Below are 23342 nucleotides of genomic sequence, written 5' to 3' on the forward strand. Positions count from 1 at the left end.
AGGGGTCATTAGTTGGCAGCTGACGTCATGAAAGATTTTGTGAGGTTACAGTCCTCTTTCCTTTTGTGCACGATTTTGACTCTTTCTGAGCAAGAGTCAGGTACAAGTGACCTTTATATTTTGTTGTTTGAAGTCATAGTTTCTTAGCGGTTGTGGGCCTTTTACTGTTTGCTGTTTTGAGTGGAAGTGACTTTCCAGTATAGTTTTCTGACTTCTGTAGTGGTATTGCTTTCTCTTGTTTGCTCTCTACCACCCCGCAAAGCAAGTGATTTATCTAGTTTATCCTAATACTTGAGAAAGAGCTAGTTTTATTCTTCCTCTGGATTTAGGTGTTTTCTATTGTGTTTTGTCACCCTATTCACCCTACCTGTGGAAAAATATTTCTCTATTTAAGGTTTCAACTTGCTCTTCCACCTCCCACCCTGATCTCCCACTCATAATCCTGCCACCTGCCTCCTGTCCTGCCCTGTTGCCTCCTAAGTGGTCATGAGTTAGTGATCATAAATCAGGTTGAGAAAATAAAGTTCTTCATTTTTTCTCCTTTCACTTCTTATTCTCCCTAAGTCATAAAGTTGTTATCATTAATATTAATAGTTTTATTTGCATTCCACTTACTTTTTCCATATTTTACAGTAATCTTTTCTCATCTAAACTATATATTTTTATTTATGTACAAAGTTATTGGGTAGAAATAATACATATAAAATACATATAATTTTGTTATTTCTAGTTTTTTTTTTAAACCATGAAAATACAGTGATGAATTGCTTTATCTATAGGATATGTTTTTGTCTAAAAATGTTTTTTGGATATGCTTCTGGTAGTAGAATTAATAGACACAAAATGAAGAAATGCTGTTGTAACACCACAGCTGTGAATGTTTTGAGTTGACAGACTTACCACACAAGGTTTTAATCTGAGACTATCTTCCTTTTGCATCATAGAAGGATACAGGGTGGAGACAGAGCAGGTGCAGATCTTCATCTTATTGGCAGGTCTAGCAGATGCCCCAGGGTACAGTTTCCCTTGTCTCTTCACCCACACGGGATGTAGATGTCTGCCAGGGATGAGAGTCAGAGGCCATAGAAGCTGCAGCTTCAGTGCCCTATCAGTCATTTACACTGGCCTAATTATGTAAACTCAAGGCCAGCACACCAGCTTGAGGCTCCCCCAATCCATGGGCAGCCCCATACAGCAAAAGAAGCAGAGACAGCATCCCATATTTAGCTTAATGTTGAACTTTTAAGGAAACAGTACTCGCAGGGAAGGAGACAGAGGTTGTTTCCAGACAGGCTTGAATGGGACTGATCCTTCATTTACAATTTTACCATTTCATCTGAGTGATCATATTGTATCTCTCAAGGCTGTTTTACAGTGGTGTATATACATATGTTTAAATATGCTATGTTCAGACTTTCTCTGGGTGTCGTTTAGCATAAAATTGCTATCTAAATGTTTAAAAAAATTTTTTTTCAACAGTGTCAGTAGGATGTACTTCCTCTATGTTCTGGGTTGTGGCTGAACCAACTTTACTTGGTCAAGATCATATTTTGCATTCTGATGAAGCATCTCTGGGAACTGGCTGTCCTGTAACCAATGTAACTGCGAAGGGATATGAGTTTAATTACCCTGCCACTCAGTGTGGGATTCAGAAAGAGGTAAGAGCTGCAAGCAGTTCAAATAATAAACTAACCCCTAGGTTGTACCTTGCAGTAGTACTGTGTGTACTGTCAGTGCGAGATTTTTTTATGGCTCTTGAATTACTTTAATTTGGTACTTTCAGGATAGGAAGACCAGTGGGTACCTTGACTTGGCCATAAAATATCATGGCACATAGCCCATTGTGGAGGAGAATACTTCAACATATATAGTAGTATAACTATCCAAGCACTCTTAAGTCTTTTTTAGTCCTTACATCCCCTAAAGTCTAGAAGCACTTAAAGCAGGCATTGTTCCTAGTTTTCATAGTAACTGAGGCTAAAATGAGTAACAATTTACCATAGATCATGCATCTGTTCAACAGGTATGTAACTGAAACTTGCATGTTGGTAAATTGGGATTTACATTCTTCCTTTGAAGAAGCAGGCGATGAAAAAATGGATGATACCAGAGGTAGAATTCACTAGGGGAAGTCAGAGGAAAAAAACATCTGAGGAGGTTTGAGGTGGAGGTGGATTTGCTCGTATGTTGTTTCTAATTTTGACATCTATGTCCATGAATGAGATTGGTCTATAATTCATTCTTTCTCATATGCTCCTTGTCAAGTTTTGAGACAGTTTAGTTAAGATTGGAAGTTTTGGCCAGGCATGGTGGCTTACCCTATAATCCCAGCAGTTTGGGAGGCCAAGGCGGACACGTCATGAGGTCAGGAGATCGAGACCATCCTGGCTAACATGGTGAAATGCTGTCTCTACTAAAAAATATATAAAAAATTAGCCAGGCATGGTGGCATGTGCCTGTCCAGTCCCAGCTGCTCAGGAGGCTGAGGCAGGAGAATTGCTTGAACCCGAGAGGTGGAGGTTGCAGTGAGCCAAGATCATGCCACTGCACCCCAGCCTGGGTGACAGAGCGAGACTATCTCAAAAAAAAAAAAAAAGATTGGAATTTTTTGATCCTTGAATGCTCAATAGAAGTTAATGATAAAATCTCCTGTATCTTTTGTTTTTCTCTGGTTTTATCACTGGGATGAAGTTGAATCCAGGTGATTAAGGCAATAGAACTAGGGAGGAGGAGAGCGAGAGTTTTCTGACAGCAACATACAGACTATTCAACATTAACCTTTGGTGGAGGAAGAAAAGTGGACTCTGCATTCAGTTTGCAGTGGTTTTACAATATGACAAAAATAGTATATTTTGGGAGGCCGAGGCAGGCAGATCACCTGAGGTCAAGAGTTTGAGACCAGCCTGGCCAACATGGCAAAACCCTGTCTCTACTAAACATACAAAAATTAGCCTAGTGGCCACCTGTAATCTCAGTAACTCAGGAGGCTGAGACAGGGAGAATTGCTTGAACCTGGGAGGCAGAGGTTGCAGTGAGCTGAGATCATGCTACTGCACTCCAGTCTGGGCAACAGAGCAAGACTCCGTCTCAAAAAAATAAATAAATAAATAAAAGGTAGTGTATTTATAGGAAAATTAAGTGGTGAATAACCACACTCTCCATTTAGAGGTATGTGTGTCCTATACAAACAATTCTGATTTCCTTCAATATGCTGTTTCACATCTACAAAACTTACTTCATGAAAGTTTGCAGATTTTTAATTTCTTTGGCCTTTGTGGTTTTTCCCATATTTCAAAGTATGACTTATTATGGATATAGGGAAATCATTACAAAGGCCAAAGAATTAATAAGCCAACTTTTCAAAGTTTATACAATTAAATATGAGACACTAAGAGAGGCAGAGACATCAGCCACAATGTTATTACAGGAGGCACAAACTATGACGTAGAATAACCAATCAGAGCTGTAGGTTTCTTTTGAAGATTTTTTTTTTTCCCCCCTGTGGCATGAAAACCATTTCTAAAGTTTTCAGGGTCTTATAAGACCCCTTCGAAATTACCTTTCAAGGACAGATTGTATATGGAACAATTTGGTTAATGTTTAAAATGTTTTCAAATTTCCATAGTATACAAAAGCAATGTTAATATTCACATATTCACATGAGTATTTTGATTTAATACCTTATCAAATCAGATTCTTTGAGTTTTATGAGTCAAAGAATCTCTACCTTGGTGGCTTCATTTCTTTCTTAGGTTTATAATTTATTATAAAGATTTTCCATTTAAAGGGCAGGATCTAGAATTTCAACAGTATTAAAAACAAAATGAAGGACTGTAGCAATCAGTTTAAGTAGCAGACATGGATTAGGAAAGAATAATTAAACATTTAAGTGTACAATACAGTGGTTTTTAGTACATTGACAAAGTTGTACAACTATCACTGCTCTCTAATTCCAGGATATTTTAATCACTTCTCAAAAATGCACCCATACCTATCAGCGGTCACTTCACTGCCTCTTCTCCCCTAGTTATAGGCAACCACAAGTCTAATTTCTCTTTCTATAGATTTGCATACTCTGGATATGTCATATAAATTCAATCATACAATATGTGGCCTTTTGTGACTTTTGCTTGCATGTTTTCAAAGTTTATCTATATCATAGCATGTCTCAATACTGCATTCTTTTTTATGGCTGAATAATTGTTTTCATTTTTTGTTACTGCTGTACCTTTGTGTACATGTTTATGTGTAAACATTTGTTTTCAATTGTGTTGGGTAAATACCTAGGACTGAAATTTCTAGCTCAAATGGTAACTCTATATTTAATTTTTTGGAGTTGCATAGTCTTTTATTTTTCTAAAGATGGTGAGTCTTTGGCTGAATGTCTTCAATGAAAGGTCTAGCAATCAAAGTTAATAATTTATTTGTCCCAACTTCAATTCTTTCCTGGGAACAACTCTTTATTCTATTGTTTGGTTTCTTTCTTTACCACTCACCTAAAATACTAGTTTTAAAACTCACAGGATCAAAACAAAACACTGAAACGCCAGAGTTGTTTAAAATGATTAGATTTTATTAAACAGCCCATTTGGACACCTGTTCATTGGAACTGATTTTTGCTTCAGCCCTAGTTCTTTGAGAAATGCAGGAATTCTTTTCACCACAATATCAGCTTGATCCAAGAATGTTGAAAAGTTAGCTGCCTTAGCGATATTGCCACCTCCAACCTCCAAAGAAATCTAAAAACCTTAGAAGATTACATGTAGTAAAATGTGAACAGGCACCATAATGTACAAGTCATTTGAGAACTATAATTGTGTAGAATTTACTCACTTTTCAAATTATTTTTCTGAATGAATAACAAATTTGTGAAACAAAATATATGGTGCTTAGAAGAGTGGTTAAATGATGGGTTAGCTTCAATGCGAAACTTTTTCTGTCTTAAGAAAGACAGGGGACTGCACAATAATCCTGTGAGGTAGGTCCTCCTATTATCCCCATTGTACAGAAGAGGATAATGAAGTTCAAAAAGATTAAGTAACCTACAAAAGGTCATACAGCCATGACTGTCAGTCTCTTGCTGGACACTGCAAACTTAGCTACTTTTAAAGGAAGATAATTTTAAATTGAGTACTAATTGTTATGCACTAAATGAAAACATTAATGTGATTAATGACAAAATATTTCACAGATAATGGGTTTTCTAGAAAGGTTAGGAAAACCAAGGTTAAGGATTCTGGATTCATATACAGGTCTTTTTCAAATATAAAACATTTCTAATATTCCTGGTTTACTATTGGGAAGAAGGGAAGAATCTTGCCGTGGCTTAAATAACAGACAGCAATTTAATTCCTGGTTATATGTGCAAAAGAATTAATAACAGTTATTTAAACAAATATATGTGCACACATGTTCCGGAAGTGAAAAGGAGGTGGCAAAGAGAGACACAGAAGAGAACTGCTGCAGCTGCTGCCAGGATCCAACTGAACTTCAAACTGTTTTATTAATTTTATTTCCAAATTGTTCATTGCTAGTGTACAGAAATAGAACTGATTTCTGTCGATTGATCTTGTCTCCTACAACATTAGTGAGCATGCTTATTAGTTGTAATAGTTTTTTTTTTTGGGTGGATCTCTTATGATTTTCTATATACAAGATCATGTCTGTTTGTCTGTCTGTCTGTCTGTCTGTCTGTCTCTCTCTCTCTCTCTCTCTCTCTCTCTCTCTCTCTCTCTCTCTATGCAGTCTTAATCTGTTGCCCAGGCTGGAGTGCAGTGGCATGAACTCAGCTCACTGCAACCTCCACCTCCCAGGTTCAAGCAATTCTGCTGCCTCAAGGCTCCCAAGTAGCTGGGACTACAGGTGTGTGCCACCGTGTCCAGCTATTTATTTTTTTATTTTTAGTAGATACCAGATTTCATCATGTTGGGCAGGCTGGTCTCGAACTCCTGACCTCAAGTGATCTGCCCACCTTGGCCTCCTGAAGTGATGGGGTTACAGGCGTGAGCCACTGTGCCAGGCCTCATGTCATCTTTAAATAGAGATAGTTTTAATTTTCCTTTCCAATCTGGATAATTTTTGTTTTATCTTCTTGCCTAATTTTCCTAGCTAGAACCTCCAGTACAATATTGGATACAAGTTGTGAGAGTGAACATCTTTGTATTATTTCTGATTATAAGGGAAAAGCTTTCAGTCTTTCATTGTTAAATATGATGTTGGCTGTGGGATTTTCACAGGTGCTCTTAATCAGGTTGAGGACGTGCCCTTTTATCTTTGGTTGTGGAGAGTTTTTATCATAAATGGTATTTAATTTTATAGTTTTTTCCCCTGAAACTATTGAGATGATCATATGGGTTTTGCCCTTTCTTCTATTAATATGGTGTATTACATTGATTTTTGTATGTGGAGCCAACATATCCTTTTCCTGGGATAAATCCCATTTAGTCATACTGCTTAGTCCTTTTTAGATGTTGCTGGATATGGTATGCTGAAGTTTTTATTTTTTGTTGGGGGGGCGCGTGGTTAGACAATGATTTCTTCTCTTTTTTCTTCAACTTTAATTTTAAGTTCAGTGGTACATGTGCAGGATGTGCAGGTTTGTTACATAGGTAAACATGTGCCATGGTGGTTTGCTACACAGATCATCCCATCACCTAGGTATGAAGCCCAGCATGCATTAGCTATTCTCCCTCCCCATCCCCCTGACAGTCCCCAGTGTGTGTTGTTGTCCCCCATGTGTCCATGTGTTCTCATCATTCAGCTCCCACTTATAAGTGAAAACATGCAGTATTTGATTTTCTGTTCCTGCAGTAGTTTGTGGAGGATAATGGCTTCCAACTCCATCCATGTCCCAGCAGAGTACATGATCTTCTTCCTTTTTATGGCTGCATACTATTCCATGGTGCATATGTACCACATCTTCTTTATCCAATCTATCATTGATGGGCATTTGGGTTGGAAGTTTTTTTACGTACATTCATAAGGTACATTGATCTATAGTTTCTTTTTGTGATGTCTTTGGTTTTAATATCAGGGCAATACATCATAGAATGAGTTGAATAATGTGCCATCTTCTATTTCTTTTTTTAAAAAATATTTATTTTAATTTTTTAAAATTTTATTTTATGTTCTGGGGTACATGTGCTGGATGTGCAGATTTGTTACATAGGTAAATGTGTGCCATGGTGGTTTGCTGCAACTATCAATCCATCACCTAGGTATCCAGCCCAGCATGCATTAACTATTTTTCCTAATGCTCTACTCCCCCACCCTCCCCTGACAAGCCCCTATGTGTGTTATTCCCCTCTCTGTGTCCATGTGTTTTCATTATTCAGCTCCCACCTTTAAGTGAGAACATGCAGTGTTTGGTTTTCTGTTCCTGTGTTAGCTTGCTGAGGATAATGGCTTCCAGCTTCACCTAAGTCCCTGCAAAGGACATGATCTGATTCCTTTTTATGGCTGCATAGTATTCCATGGTATGTATGTACCACATTTTCTTTATCCAATCTATCATTGATGGGCATTTGGGTTGATTCCATGTCTTTGCTATTGTGAATAGTGCTGCAATGAACATACACGTGCGTGAATCCTTGTAATAGAATTTATATTCTTTTGGGTATATACCCAGTAAAGGGATTGTTTGATCAAATGCATGTATCCTTGTAACAGAATGATTTACATTCTTTTGAGTATATACCCAGTAATGGGGTTGTTTGGTCAAGTGGTATTTCCAGTTGTAAATCTTTGAGGAATCACCACACTGTCTTCCACAATGGTGGAACTAATTTACATTCCCACCAACAGTGTAAAAGAGTTCCTATTTCTCTGCAACCTCTCCAGTATCTGTTGTTTCTTGACTTTTTAATAATCACCATTCTGACTGGTGTGAGAACGTATCTCATTGTGGTTTTAATTTTCATTTCTCTAATGATCAGTGATGTTGAGCTTTTATGTTTTTTGGCCACATGTATGTCTTATTTTGAGAAGTATCTGTTCATGTCATTTGCCCACTTTTTTTTTTTTTTTTTGATACGGAGTCTTGCTCTGTCACCCAGGCTGGGGTGCAGTGGTGTGATCTTGGCTCACTGCAACCTCCGCCTCCCAGATTCAAGCGATTCTGCTGCCTCAGCCTCCCGAATAGCTGGGAGTATAGGCGTGTGCCACCATGCCCGGCTAATTTTTTTTTGTATTTTTAGTAGAGACTGGGTTTCACAATGTTGGCCAGGCTGGTCTTGAACTCCTGCCCTCAAGTGATTCGTGTGCCTTGGCCTCCCAAAGTGCTGGGATTACAGGCATGAGCCACCACACCCCTTTGCCCACTTTTTAATGGTTTTTTTTTTGTTGTTTTTTTTTTTGTAAACTTGCTTAAGTTCCTTGTAGATTCTGGATATTAGACCTTTGTCAGATGGATAGATTGCAAAAATTTTCTCCCATTCTGTAGGTTGTCTGTTTGCTCTGATGATAGTTTCTTTTGCAGTGCAGAAGCTCTTTAGTTTAATTAGATCCCATTTGTCAATTTTTGCTTTTGTTGCAATTGCTTTTGTTGCTTATGATGCAATTTTTTGGCAATGTCATCATAAAATCTTTGCACATGTGTATGACCTGAATGGTATTGCCTAGATTTTCTTCTAGGGTTTCTATAGTTTTGGGTTTTACACTTAAGTCTTTAATCCATCTTGAGTTAGTTTTTGTGTAAGGTGTAAGGAAGGGATCCAGTTTCAATTTTCTGCATATGACTAGCCAGTTCTCCCAGCACCATTTATTAAATAGGAAATCCTTTCCCCATTGCTTGTTTTTGTCAGGTTTGTCAAAGATCAGATGGTTGTAGATGTGCAGTTTTATTTCTGAGTTCTGTATTTTGTTTTATTGGTTTATATGTCTGTTTTTGCACCAGTACCATGCTGTTTTGATTACTGTAGCCTTGCAGTATAGTTTGAGGTTTTGTAGCATGATGCCTCCAGCTTTGTTCTTTTTGTTTAGGATTGTCCTGGCTGTACAAGCTCTTTTTCGGTTCCATATGATTTTTAAAATAGTTTTTTTTTCTAATTCTGTCAAGAATGTCAATGGTAGTTTAATGGGAATGGCACTGAATCTAGAAATTGCTTTGGGCAGTTTGGGCATTTTTACGATATTGATTCTTCCTATCCAATAGCATGGAATGTTTTTTTCATCTGTTTGTGTCCTCTCTGGTTTCCTTGAGCAGTGATTTGTAGTTCTCCTTGAAGAAGTCCTTCACTTCCCTTGTTAGCTGTATTCCTAGGCATTTTATTCTCTTTGTGGCAATTGTGAATGGGAGTTCATTTATAATTTGGCTCTCTGCTTGTCTGTTGTTGGTGTATAGGAATGCTTGTGATTTTTGCACATTGATTTTGTATCCTGAGGTTTTCCTGAAGTTGTTTATCAGCTTAAGAAGCTTTTGGCTGAGTCCATGGGGTTTTCTAGATATAGGATCACATCATCTGCAAACAAAGACAATTTGACTTTCTCTCTTCTTATATGAATACCATTTCTTTCTTTCTTTTGCCTGATTGCTCTGGCCAGAACTTCCAGCTATGTTGAATAAGAGTACTGAGAGAGGGCATCTTTGTCCTGTGCCATTTTTCAAGGGGAATGTTTACAGGTTTTGCCCTTTCGTTCTGATATTGGCTGTGGGTTTGTCATAAATGGCTCTTATGGTTTTGAGGTATGTTCTTTCAAACCTAGTTTATTGAGAGTTTTTAACATGAAGGGATGTTGAATTTTCTCAAAGCCTTTTCTGTATCTATTGAGATTATCCTGTGGTTTTTGTCTTTAGTTCTGTTTATGTGACAAATTATGTTTATTGATTTGCATATGTTGAACCAGCCTTGCATCCTGGGGATGAAGCCAACTTGATTGTGGTGTATAAGCTTTTTGATGTGTTGCTAGATTCAGTTTGCCAGTATTTTATTGAGGATTTTTGCATTGATATTCATCAGGGATATTGGCCTGAAGTTTTCTTTTTTTGTTGTATCTCTGTCAGGGTTTGGTATCAGAATGATGCTGGCCTCATAACATGAGTTAGAGAGAAGTTCCTTATTTTCAATGGTTGGGAATAGTTTCAGAAGGAATGGTACCAGCTCCTCTTTGTATCTCTGGTAGAATTCAGCTGTAAATCCAACGGGTCCTGGGCTTCTTTGTTTGTTTGGTTGGTAGGCTATTTGTTACTGCCTCAATTTCAGAACTTGTTATTGGTCTATTCAGGGATTCAACTTCCTGGTTCAGTCTTGGGAGAGTGTACGTGTCCTGGAGTTTATCCATTTTTTTCTAGATTTTCTAGTTTGAGGTGTTTATAGTATTCTCTGATGGTTGGTTGTATTTCTGTAGGGTCAGTGGTGGTATCCCCCTTATCATTTCTGAATGTGTTTATATGAATCTTCTCTATTTTCTTCTTTATTAGTCTAGCTAGTGGTCTACCTATTTTGTTGATTTTTTTTTTTTCCAAAAAAGCAGCTCCTAGATTCATTGATTTTTTTGAAGGGTTTTTCATGTCTCTATTTCCTTCAGTTCTTCTCTGAGCTTGGCTATTTCTTGTCTTCTGCTAGCTCTGGGGTTTCTCTTGTTTCTCTAGTTCTTTTTAGTTTTGATGTTAGGGTGTTAATTTGAAATCTTTTCAGCTTTTTGATGTTAGCATTTTAGTGCTATAAATTTCCCTCTTAACACTGCATTAGCTGCATCCCAGGGATTTTGATACATTGTCTTCTTGTTCTCATTAGTTTCAAAGAACTTGATTTCTGCCTTAATTTCATTATTTACCCAGAAGTCATTCAGGAGCAGGTTGTTCAATTTCCATGTAATTGTGTGGTTTTGAGTGGGTTTCTTAATCTTGAGTTCTAATTTGATTATGCTGTGGTCTGAGAGACTGTTATATTTCAGTTCTTTTGCATTTGCTGAGGAGTGTTTTACTTTCAATTATGTGATGAATTTTAGAGTAAGTTATGTGGCACTGAGAAGAATGTATGTTCTGTTGTTTTGGGGTGTAGAGTTCTGTAGATATCTATCAGGTCCACTTGATCCAGAGCTGAGTTCAAGTCCTGAATATCTTTGTTAATTTTATGTCTCAATCTAATATTGACAGTGGGGTATTAAAGTCTCCCACTATTGTGTGGGGGTCTAAGTCTCTTTGTAGGTCTTTAAGAACTTATTTTATGAATCTGGGTGCTCCTGTGTTGGGTTCATATATATTTAGGATAGTTAGCTTTTCTTGTTGAATTGAACCCTTTACCATGTAATGACCTTCTTTGTCTTTTTTGACCTTTGTTGGTTTAAATTCTATTTTGTCAGAAACTAGGATTGCAACTCCTGCTTTTTTCTGCTTTCCATTTGCTTGGTAAATTTTCCTCCATCCCTTTATTTTTATCCTATTTGTGTCTTTGCATATGAGATGTGTCTCTTGAATACAGCACACCAATGAATCTTGTCTTTTTATCCAGCTTGCCATTCTGTGTCTTTTAATTGGGGCATTTAGCACATTTACATTTAAGGTTGATATTGCTATGTGTGAATTTGGTCCTGTCATCATGATGCTGGCTGGTTAATTTGCAGACTTGTTAATGTAGTTGCTTCATAGTGTCATTGGTCTGTGTACTTTAGTGTGTTTTTGTAGTGGCTGATAATGGTTTTTCCTTTCCATGTTTAATGCTTCCTTCAGGAACTCTTGCAAGGAAGGCCTTCTGGTGATGAGATCCTTTAGCATTTGCTTGTCCGAAAAGGATTTTATTTTTCCTTCTCTTATGAAGCTTTGTTTGGCTGGATATGAAATTCTGGGATGGAAATTCTTGTCTTTAAAAATGTTGAACATTGGCTCCCAATCTCTTTTGGCTTATAGGGTTTCCACTGAGAGGCCTGCTATTAGTCTGATGGGCTTACCTTTGTAGGTTACCTGGCCTTTCTCTCTGACTGCCCTTAACATTTTTTTCCTTCATTTCGACATTGGAAAATTGGATGATTATGTGTCTTGGAGTTGATCTTCTCATGGAGTATCTTATTGGGGTTCTCTGGATTTCCTGAATTTGAAGGTTAGCCTGTCTTGCTAGGTTAGGAAGTTCTCCTGGATGATATCCTGAAGTGTGTTTTCCAAACTTGGTTCCATCTTCCCTGTCTCAGGTACTCCAATCACTCATAGGTTTGGTCTTTTTCCATAGTCCATAGTTCTCAGAAGTTTTGTTTATTTCTTTTCATTCTTTTTTCTCTAATCTTGTCTGCTTGCCTTATTTCACAATATATTCTTCAAGCTCTGATATTCTTTCTTCCACTTTGGCCAATTCAGCTATTGATACTTGTGTTTGCATCATAAAGTTCTTGTGCTGTGTTTTTCAGCTCCATCAGGTCATTATGTTTCTCTCTAAACTGGTTATTCTAGTTAACAGCTCTTGTAATCTTTTATCATGATTCTTGGCTTCTTTACATTGGGTTAGAACATAATCTTTTAGCTCAGCGAAGTTCATTATTACCCACTTTCTGAAGCCTACTTCTGTCAGTTCATCCATCTCAGATTCAGCCCAGTTCTGCGCCCTTGCTGAAGAGGTGTTGTAATCATTTGGAGGGGAAGAGGCATTCTGGCTTTTGGAATTTTCAGCATTTTTGTGTTGATTTTTCCTCATCTTCTTGGATGTATCTACCTTTGACCTTTGAGGCTGTTGACCTTTGGATGGGGTTTTTGTGGGGTCTTTTTTTGTTGATGTTGTTGCTTTCTGTTTGTTTTTCTTTTAACATTCAGAACCCGCTTCTGCAAGCCTGCTGCAGTTTCTGGGGGTTCACTTCAGACTCTGTTTGCCTGGGTATCGCCTGTTGAGGCCGCAGAACAGCAAAGATTGCTGCCTGTGCCTTCCTCTGGGAGCTTTGTCCCAGGGGAGGACCGACCAGATGCCAGCTATTACTCTCCTGTGTGAGGTGTCTGGCAACCCCTGTTGGGAGGTCTTATGCAGTCAGGAGGCATGGAATCAGGGACCTGCTTAAGGAAGCAGTCTGGCTGTCCCTTAGCAGAGCAAGTGCACTGCACTGGGGTGAATCCCCCTAATGGCTGACTAGAGCCACAGTAATTGTGGTGGCCCCTCCCCCCAGGAACTCTGTCATCTTAGGCAGACTGCAGGCTGCTGTGCTGGCCAGTGGGGAATCCAAGCCAGTAGGTCATAGCTTGCAGGGTTCCGTGGGAGTGTGATCCGCTGAGCAAGGCTACTTGGCTCCCTGGCTTCAGTTTCCTTCCCACAGTAGTGGACGAATCTCTTGCCTCACTGGAGTTCCAGGAGCTGCTGGAGTATGCAAAAACTCCTGCAGCTCAGTGCCTGCCTGAGCGGCTGCTGACCTGAGCAGCTGTCATGAGTCTGCAAATCTTTGTGCTTGGGACCCAAGGCCCTGGTGGTGTGGGCTCATGAAGTAATCTCCTGTTCTGTGGGTTGTAAAAATCCATGGGAAAAGTGTAGCTCTCCGGATGGGTAGCACAATCTCTCACCGCCTCCCTTGACTGGGGGAGGGACGGCCCTTTTCCTTGTGCAGCTCCTGGGTGAACCATCACCTGATCCTGCTTTTTCTTGCTCTCTGTGGATTGTACCAACCGCCTAGTCAGTCCCAATAAGAGAATCTGGGTACCTCAGTTGGAAATGCAGAATTCACTCCCCATTTATTTCCATCTCGGCGGGAGCTGCAGACTGGAGCTGTTTCTACTTGGCCATCTAGGCGTCTCCTCTGCTCCACTTCTATTTGTTGGGAGATTTTGTGAAGCACTGGTTCTAATTCTTTTTTTACATGTTTGATAGAATTGAGTAGTGGAGCCTGGTGATGCCTGGACTTTCTTTGTGGGTAGTTTTTGGCTACTAATCCAATCTCTTTACTTATTATATATAGGTCTATTCCTCTTGAGCACATTCAGAGTCAAGTCAAATAACCAGCATTTCAGGAAAAGTAAAAAAAAAAAATGACAATTCTCTGAAGATGGGGCTTTTGAGGAGCTCCAAACCATCTATTTCCTCTGGATCCTGCTAGGCTGTTGACTTTCATAGATACTGTGTACTGGGAAGAGGGAACTTGAAATAGAACAAGTTAAAAATGCCAAAAAGCTATCATTCTTACTGAGATTCTATCATTTTTTTCTTGAATAAATGCTCCTTGAATTGTTGCAAGACTGAGGATAATATTCAGAGTCTTAAAAAAGTTGAATTTGATAATTTCTGCCATTTTCTTATTGTTTTATGAAGAAGTGGATTTTTTGGTGGTCTTTAGTTTGCATACTAGAAATCACTATTGAATACATAATTACCAAGAGAAGTAAGGAGCATATAATATCTATTTTCCACACTTTACATACAATTTATATACTCAACTAAAATAACCTTCAATAGCAACGCAATGGGAAAATAATCGTGTTATTGAATTCTATATTTCTATTCTTTTTGGAAACATTTTATTTCTATGAGAATATTTGTTGCATTATTTAACAGGTTGAAAAATAGTAATTCAATAAGACATTTTTGTAAAAATTATCAATAGAAAAACATACCTAAATGTAATTACAGAAATTATTCCTGTATTAAGATTATAAATCTTTGACCATAACTGTAGTGGCTTTTTTTTCTTTTTTGACAGAGTCTTGTTCTGTCATCAAGGCTGGAGTGCAGTGGCATGATTACAGCATGATCACAGCTCACTGCAACCTCCACCTCCTGGACTCAAGTAATCCTCCCATCTCAGCCTCCTGAGTGGCTTGGAACCACTCAACCCGGTTGATTGTTTTTTGATTTTTAGTAGAGATGAGATCTTGCTATATTGCCCAGGCTGGTCTCCTGAGCTCAAGCGATCCTCCTGCTTCTGCCTCACCTTCCCAAAGTGGTGGGATTAGAGGTGTGAGCCACCATGCTGGACCAACATAGTGTTTTTGACATCTCCACAATGAGCATGTGTTCAGAAAAGGCAAATCTCCAATTGGTTCAATATTTTCAGACATCTGGGATACAGCACTGTGATAATGTTTAAGAGCTAAATATGAGAAAAAAAAACTTGTTAAGTAGAAGCTGTAGCCCTTGTTCCTAGTCTGGCAATTCAAGATTACAATCTTGTTATTTTATTTCCACACATATTAACTGATTGCACTGATGATCAAAAGCCTTGGATGGTGTTTTTTTAAAATTTTTCTGGTGAATCAGTTTTCTTTTTCCAGCTCTCTGCAGAGAGACCTTGGTGCAGTATAAAGAGCTTACATCTTATCTTGATCTGTTCACTGTTCAAATGTCTTTAAAACTCCTGTGTGACATGACATCAACTTATAAAGTCTTTTTGTCCCATTAGGTTTTCTCATATGTAACAGTTTTTTATTCAGCACTCCACTGTAATATAATGCACAAAGGAGTCACTGGCAAAATTCCTTTGATGTGTATTGTATATGGGTGAGTATAATGAACCAGATGGTTCACAGTTTACCCTCTAAGAACTAATGAAAAGGAAAACATTTGGAATATGAAGCTTTACATCATTAGAACCCTAGAGCGAGGTTGGTTTGCATAGTTTCTCTGTGCAATGATGAGGTATTTATCAATGCCATTTGGCCATTACAGATGCTCTGCCCAAATGCCCTGGGACCCCCCCTTAATATTTCTGTTTGCCCCTCTCCCTGCTTCTGTGTGATCTGGCTTTCAGTGATACCAACTGGGCTTGGAAATTTAACAAATACTTCCCACTCTCATGATTCAGTGATTTGGGGGCATGAAAAGCCAGCTCTGTTTCTTGAGTCAGGGATAAACTTGGAGGCAGGATTTGACTTTGGAGCTCACTTGAGGGTCCTACTGAGGCTAGGACTCTGCCTTAAATAGCATTCCTGCTTGTTGTTGTCTTTACCTTCTATGTCCTGCTTTTCTCCCATTCCCTTATTGGGAACACTTCTATAATAAATCACCTGCACATAAATATCCTTGCCAAGTCCTGCTTTTGGGAAATCCAAGTAAGATGGTAAAATGAGTTAAACAGAGCTCAGAGGTGATTGTCCCCATGATCATGTAGCTAGGGAATGGCAAGTCAGGACTTGAACACACCTTCTCACCTAACTGCCACCCCGCAGATCAGGGAATGCTTGCAGAAACAGGAATAGTAGCCAAATTACTCAGTTTTCAACTCTTTAAGATCAAATTAAAAAACTCTTAGCCTAAGTTGTTCTCTATTCTACATAATACCTAACTTCCCCCACCCCCAATTTTGATAGCTTATATAAATCAAAGGGCTTGAATGGGCATAATTGTATTAAAATATTTTTTAAAAAGCAATAATTTAGATGTTTTCTTAATATACTATGGCCCTATGACTTTTGGGGAAATCCCTGAAACTTTGCTATATCTTCAGGATCAATGGATGAATGCTGTTAACCTTTTAGTAGTTTATGAATGACAACTTTTAAAACAGCCAGGATTCTCAGTTTATACTTGTAAGAGATTGTCTCGGGAATTTTATTTAGCTTATCAGAGCTGACGTTTTCTGTTTAGAATACATTTTCCTATGGTAGGACTTTTTTTTTTTTTTTTGGACTAACGCCCCTAAATGGAGGTTTGTTAATCCTTAAAAAAAAAAGGCAAGTAGAAGGCAGAGAGGTAGCAGTGTTAGTAAGTCTACTACTGCTAAAGTAGAAGGAAAAAAAATGAATTCAGACAAAAAGAGACTTACTGGTTTGTTTATTTTTAAATGTAATCTGATGTGCAAATTGTGTCTTCTTTAAAACTTTCAGCTCATCTTTGGATACCACTTCAAGCACTATCCATAACAATCTTACAGAATTCCAAAATGACCCTCCCGCTACCAATTCTTATTCTCCCTGGAACTTAACCAACGCTAGCTTATTTGGATTGACTCGGATTCCATATTTTCAAAACTCCTCGGTGAGGATCCTTAGAAGAGACAAAACATGGCAGTGTCCATGTAGAAATGATCGTATTGACATAAGGAAGTAAAAGCTCAAATCTCTACTAAGGAGGGTATTTGTTGTTTAAATAGTGTTTAACTACATGATGGGTCTCACATTACATTTCAATCCTGTTTAGAAAAAATGCTACTTCCATGTGTCTACATATATCCTGGTCTTGTCAATAAGTCTCCCTTTACCCTAGTTATGACAAATAAAAGAAAATCTCTAGTATAGTTTAAACATAATCTGAGTTGATAAACCACTTACTTTAAATAGTGCTCAGACACTTGAATAAAAATTTTCAACTCTTTCAACCCTTCCCTCTAATCCCTGGCACATAGTAGGTTCTCCGTGTTCACTAGTCAATATATTAGTCAATGTGTTTACTGTGCCAAGTTTATCAAGGGGTTACATTGGAAACTTTTTATTAACTACCTTTCTTTTTTCTCTGTAGGTAGAGGCATCTCATCAGTCACTTCTACTTAATATGTCTCATCCATTAGTCCATGAGAGTGCAAATGTAGCTATATTCTAGGTTCTTCCATGGCAATCCTGAAAACTCTGTTGCTACAGCTTACTTAAAATTTAATTTTTGAACCACTCACTACAGATTTATCACTTTTTGGTGCCACTTCCTGAGAGGACATTGGGTTGGGATAGAGCCCAGTGCTTCATATGTTTTTAAAAAGTGCTCCTTTTAAACATAGGCCATTATACCCTTGCATAGTCTCTTATAATACAATGTCTATGTATAATTTGTATGTGGAGTTGATCTTACAAATAAAATGTGCTGTCCCTTTGGCTATACTTCTTGATGACTGGGTTATAATCTCAAAACAGAACCTAGGCTGGGATGTAGGCATGGAAGGGTCTCTGTCCTCCACCTGCTGTTAGTGTACAAGTCATGTTTTAAATACAGTAGACTGAGAATAATCCTACATAGTTGTTTAATTCCTTTAAGAAAGATTTAGTATCCATGATAGAAATGAGCACCATTGGATCAACCAGGAAATAGAGTAGAAAGTTTGACCTCCTCTAGGCCCATGGCCTTGGGAAACAGCGATAGCAGAATATTTCCGTATCTTTCTTCAAGATCAATAGGGTGAGACTAGTTTTTATTCTTGGCACTCTAGGAACTAAACCTTTAGTGATCCCTTAGGACCATCCTTCTTTATTTCAATGACCACTCTCCAGTTAGTAAGAACATCATTCTGAAACATGCTCATGAGGATCTTGAGATGTTTCTAACAAAACCTCAAGTCCTGCCTGTGTGATTCTATTCTTCATATTGGGAAACCTTAGGCAATAGGGTTTATTGACTAGATACTTGTTATTTCAAATAACTGGGTGAAGGTAGACATCTTTTAATCTCCATCAGTGTTTCCTGCTGGCAGAACCTAAAGGTGAGGCTTGAAAATCTAATTTTTGAACTCTTGGCTCCAACATTGTAGGGCAGAGAGAGGCACATGTGGTAGTGAGACAACAGGTAAGCAACACACATAGGCTTGCTGCACCAACAGCGCTACTGCTTTCTATTTTAGTAAGGGGACCAGTAAGGATTTGTGTGTTAATTAGGACTAAAGTTGGTTACAGTTCACTTATTCATTCTCCCTTTCTTCCTCCCTGCCTCTCTCTCTTTCATATCTAGTATTCATTTGAAATGAACGAATCCCTGTTACTTTTGTTGAAAACATTACTAGACATTTTCATCATCCTTTAAATATAAACAGTATATTCAGACTCCTCGTGTCCTTCTTCAAAAAACCCCGGTAATTTAAGAATGAAAACAAACTGGAAAACTCAGAAAATGGCGATAAAAGTGGGTAGTTTCCATTTCAGCAATGAAGACATGCAAGAATTTTTGTATTAATTAGGACCAAGAATGGATAGAGTTTGTGTATTTAATCTCTCTCTTTCATAGATAGCATTCATTTGGAATGAACTTATTACTTTCATTCATAAAATATTTCTGTTTTTCCATTGTCCCTTAAAGTCAAAAGCCCACCAAGTCCAGAATAGGAGCCAGCGGTGGTAAAGGCAGACAGAGAGTGATAACCCTAATCACTGTCCCAGAGCTGTGATGCTTCATTCTTGAAAGGAGGATTGCCAGGCGTGATGGCTCACGCTTGTAATCCCAGCACTTTGGGAGGCCAAGGCGGGCAGATCACCTGAGATCGGGAATTAGAGACCAGTCCGATCAACATGGAGAGACCCCGCCTCTACTAAAAATACAAAATTAGCCGGGAGTGGCGGTGCATGCCTGTAATCTCAGCTACTTGGGAGTCTGAGGCAGGAGAATCGCTTGAACCCGGGAGGCGGAGGTTGCGGTGAGCCGACATAGCGCCATTGCACTCCAGCCTGGGCAACAAGAGTGAAACTCCTTCTAAAAAAAAAAAAAGATTTAAAGTTCTAAGATGGCTAAGATGGGCGCACGACGCGCCAGTGGCCACTACTCCGCGGGCTGACGGTGGCGGCGCTGGCAGCGCGGAACGCGGGCGCCTAAGCCATGGCTTCCTCAGGGAGAGCTGAGCTCTGGGCGCTGAACCCGCTGCGCTTGCTGTGGCTCACGCCGGCCGCCGCCTTCCTGCTGACCCTGCTGTTGCAGCTTCTGCCGCTCGGCCTGCTCCTGGGCCGCGCATTCTTCCAGGACCTGATCCGCTTTGGGAAAACAAGTGTTGGGGGGCCTCCGCGCCCCGCCGCCTGTCGCACCTTTGATGTCCCCAAGAGATATTTTTTCCTACTTCTCCCACTTCTATATCATCTCAGTGCTGTGGAATGGCTTCCTGCTTTGGTGCCTTACTCCATCTCTGTTCCTGGCAGCATCTTTTCCAAGCTGGCTTTATGGTTTGCTCAGAATTCTCAGGGCAGCACAGTTCCAGGGAGGGAAGCTGGCGCTGTCTGCGTTCTTAGTGCTGGTATTTCCGTGGCTGCGCAGCTTACGAAGAGTGCTTCTAAGTCAGTGTCTTCTCCAATGGCACGACTCACATCGTGCAATACTGTTTTGGACTTGCCTACTATGTCCTTGTCGGCCTATCTGTGCTGAGCCAAGTGCCAATGGATAGCAGGAATGCCTATGTAACAGGGAAAAAGCTACTGATGCAAGTGCGGTGGTTCCATATTCTCGGGATGATGATATTCATCTGGCCATCTGCCCATCAGTATAAGTGCCATGTCATTCTCGGCAATCTCAGGGTAAATAAAGCAGGAGTGGTCATTCACTGTAACCACAGAATCCCATTTGGAGACTGGTTTGAATGTTTTCTTCCCCTGACTACTTAGCAGATCTGATGATCTACATTTCCATGGCTGTCACCTTTGGGTTCCACAACTTGGTGAATAGTGGTGACATATGTCTTCTTCAATCCGGCCCTGCCTGCCTTTCTCAGCCACAAATTCTACAAAAGTAAATTTGTCTCCTACCCGAAGCATAGGAAAGCTTTCCTATCATTTTTGTTTTAAGTCAACCTCAGTCATGAAGAATGCAAACTAGGTGATGGTTTCCATGCCTAAGGACAGTGAAGTCTGGAGTCCAAAGTACAGTTTCTGCAGAACTGCTTGAAACTCTCTGTTCCATTTCTATGCCCCACAAGTTTTCACTGAATGAGCATGGCAGTGCCACTCAAGAAAATGAATCTCCAGTGTCTTCAAAGAAGAAATACTAATGGCAGATCTGCGATTTCTGTGTCCACTTTCTGAGATACTCTATAAAAACCAACCGGTAAAAAGTAGATGAGACTTCTCCAAGCTGCTTCACAAGCAAACTAACCAAAAATATATAAACAGTGTCACACATGCACACACACACACATACACAAAGGAAGAGATAAGTGCAAGGCTCTTGTATTGGTTCGAAACCCGAGAACGTGCCAACAAACACCACAAGGCGGTGTGGAGCAACAGGCTGTTTTAATGAGCACCTGGGTGCAGACGGGCTGAGGCGTAAAATGGTGTCAGCCCTAAGTGAAGACGGGGCAGGGGTTTTATAGTTTCCTATAAACAGGAAGTGTCCCAGTCTGACGTAACTGCTACGTGGTACCCGGATGGCCTCTCTCTCGATCTGCAGGGGGCACATGTCTTCTGGCCAGCTCACTTCCTGCTTCTTCTATCTTGCTGAGGCACAGTGCTGGTGCAAGTGGCCTTGCGCCTTGGGACTGGGCCTGAGGAGGGAGGAGTTACTCATCCCCCTAAGCTTTCAGGCCCTGGGGAGAATCTTTCAATAAAATCATCAATGGCTGTAACAGCCTGGTAGGAATGGACTATATAATAATACAGCAGGTGCTCAATAAATATTTGTTGCATTTCAGTAAAAGCAGAATAAACTTTGAAAATAATAAAAGGCTGAGTGCAGTGACTCACACCTGTAATCCCAGCATTTCGGGAGGCCGAGGTGGGCAGATCGCTGGGGCCCAGGAGTTGGAGACCAGCCTGGGCAAGATGGCGAAACCCTGTCTCCATCAAAAAATATAAAAATTTGCCAAGAGTGGTGGCAGGCACCTGTAGTCCCAGCTCCTTGCAGGTGGGCTGAGGTGGAAGGATCGCTTGAGCCTGGGAGGTTAAGCGTGCAGTGAGTCAAGATCACACCACTGCACTCCAGCCTGGGCAACAGGGCAAGACCCTGTCTCAAAATAATAATAATATATAGTTTTACACCAAAAGTTTCGGGGAAAAATGAGTTTGCTGGAGTTAATTTATACTTTCATGCATTACCACAAAGATCTCCAGTTACATAACTATCAATAGCCATTTCCACTCATCTCCCCCTCGAATCATAGCCTAATGGAACGTTTTGAAAGCTTCTTTATTTAATATTTCTTTTATGTCCTTTGAAGGGAGCACTTCAAAAGTGAAAGCATCAGAACATAAAATATATTTATGCATAGCAAGCCTTCTTGAATGGAAATGACACACTCTGGATTGAATAATACAGTAGCCTCATTCATATGTAGTTATTTAAATTGGATTAATGTCTGCCTGAGTTTATTTGAACTAACAGAATGTATCTGAAGATATTCAGGAATGAAGTTTATATTTAAAATAGCTTATGTTAAAGAAAATACCTGTGATTAATTCAGAGGGAAATAAATGCATGGTATAAAAGAAAACCCAAAACTTGAAAAATAATACTGTAGCCTGGGCAACACAGTAAAAACTGCACGTTTGTGCAGCATAACATCTTCCGGCTTATTGGCTGAGGTGTTAAGTTTATTCCTTTTATGCAGATGTCCTGTTACAGTCAGCCAAGCACTAAAGCTTTGCATTTATGTGTACTTTGCTATGGGGGAAAGAACCTTATGATTAATAAGACACATATCAAATGCGTAGTCAATCATCCCCGCCCCATCCCTGGAGCTGTAACCCAAAACTGTTAAACTAAAAATCTTTTTAATATCTTTAAATACATGCATGTCAAGAACATTCAAAAGTTCTTGCAGCAATTTTGATAGAACATTTTCTCTCCCAACAATTAACACCACTTAATTAAGATTAATCTGTGGCCCAGTCTATTTAAATAAATGCCATATTTATTTTACTTATTTAGAATTTGCCATTCTCAGAAAAAAAACTCTTTGTACATTGGAAATGAAAAGCATATTGCAGTTTGGTCTTAATTTCCACGTGAATGTCACGCTTAATTTTAAATAAATTTTTGGGGAAAAATGTATTTTATTTTTAGCATGCAATTTTATGCCCAGGTTAGACTAGGGATTTGGCTGATGTTCTGGAATCTCATTGTACTGTTAAGTAATGAGCATGCTCAATGACACACCCTGTCAGGGGTTGTGAGAAAGCTGCAGTGTTCAGTTTCCCACCCGTTTCCTTTTCCTGCTGTCTCTCTCTGACTCATTCCTGCTTCTTACTTTCCCTTTTCCTTCTTTGTCCAAACATTACATTTCTAGGCAAAGATAAAAGAGGAAATAGTGATGTCCTGAAAGGGATTCAGAACAAAGTAGCATGGCCTTTGGTGAAAGCTTCACCTATGGGAAATAATTGAGAATTGTGCTGTGCTTGCAATGTCAGAATCAGTACTGTTTTTTTTTTTTTTGTATTGGTGAAAATATTCCACGTACCTAAAGGGAGAGCATCAGGGAGTTTGCAAATTCTTCACAAGGATCCAGAAAAAGCTTAGAGGTGGAGAGTCATGATTTTCCTGTTGGCTTAGTTGAATAGCCGTAATCTTTCATTTTCTACTACCACTAAGTTAGGGGGAATGACATTGAACTACCTCATTAGCAGCCTTGCCTGGATTAACTACTGATTGAAAAAGTGTGCTGGAAATAGCCTTTGTTTTTGTTGAAGCTCATCCTACACACTAACATTTGCTTACAGTAAGCATGGATTATTTTGTCTCTGCCAAGCTGTGTTCTGTATTATATTTTTACTTCAATGTGTGGTTATTGCTAGAATTCCTACAAAAATGCCTTTGTAGATATTTTTGTACGTAGTT

General features: G+C 39.3%; 1 protein-coding gene and 1 pseudogene across 1 annotated transcript; both read left to right on the forward strand.

Moving 5' to 3' along the window:
* On the forward strand, positions 1-17702 carry OOSP3 (oocyte secreted protein family member 3). The gene is made up of 5 exons (NM_001395255.1): positions 1-100; positions 1480-1658; positions 15298-15395; positions 16721-16871; positions 17352-17702. The coding sequence occupies exons 1-5, from the start codon at positions 28-30 to the stop codon at positions 17430-17432; spliced, it is 582 nt and encodes a 193-aa protein (NP_001382184.1). The 5' UTR covers positions 1-27; the 3' UTR covers positions 17433-17702.
* SRD5A3P1 (steroid 5 alpha-reductase 3 pseudogene 1) lies at positions 19314-20549 on the forward strand (annotated as a pseudogene).

This window comes from Homo sapiens, chromosome 11 (assembly GCF_000001405.40).
Source record: "Homo sapiens chromosome 11, GRCh38.p14 Primary Assembly".
Lineage (NCBI taxonomy): Eukaryota > Metazoa > Chordata > Mammalia > Primates > Hominidae > Homo > Homo sapiens.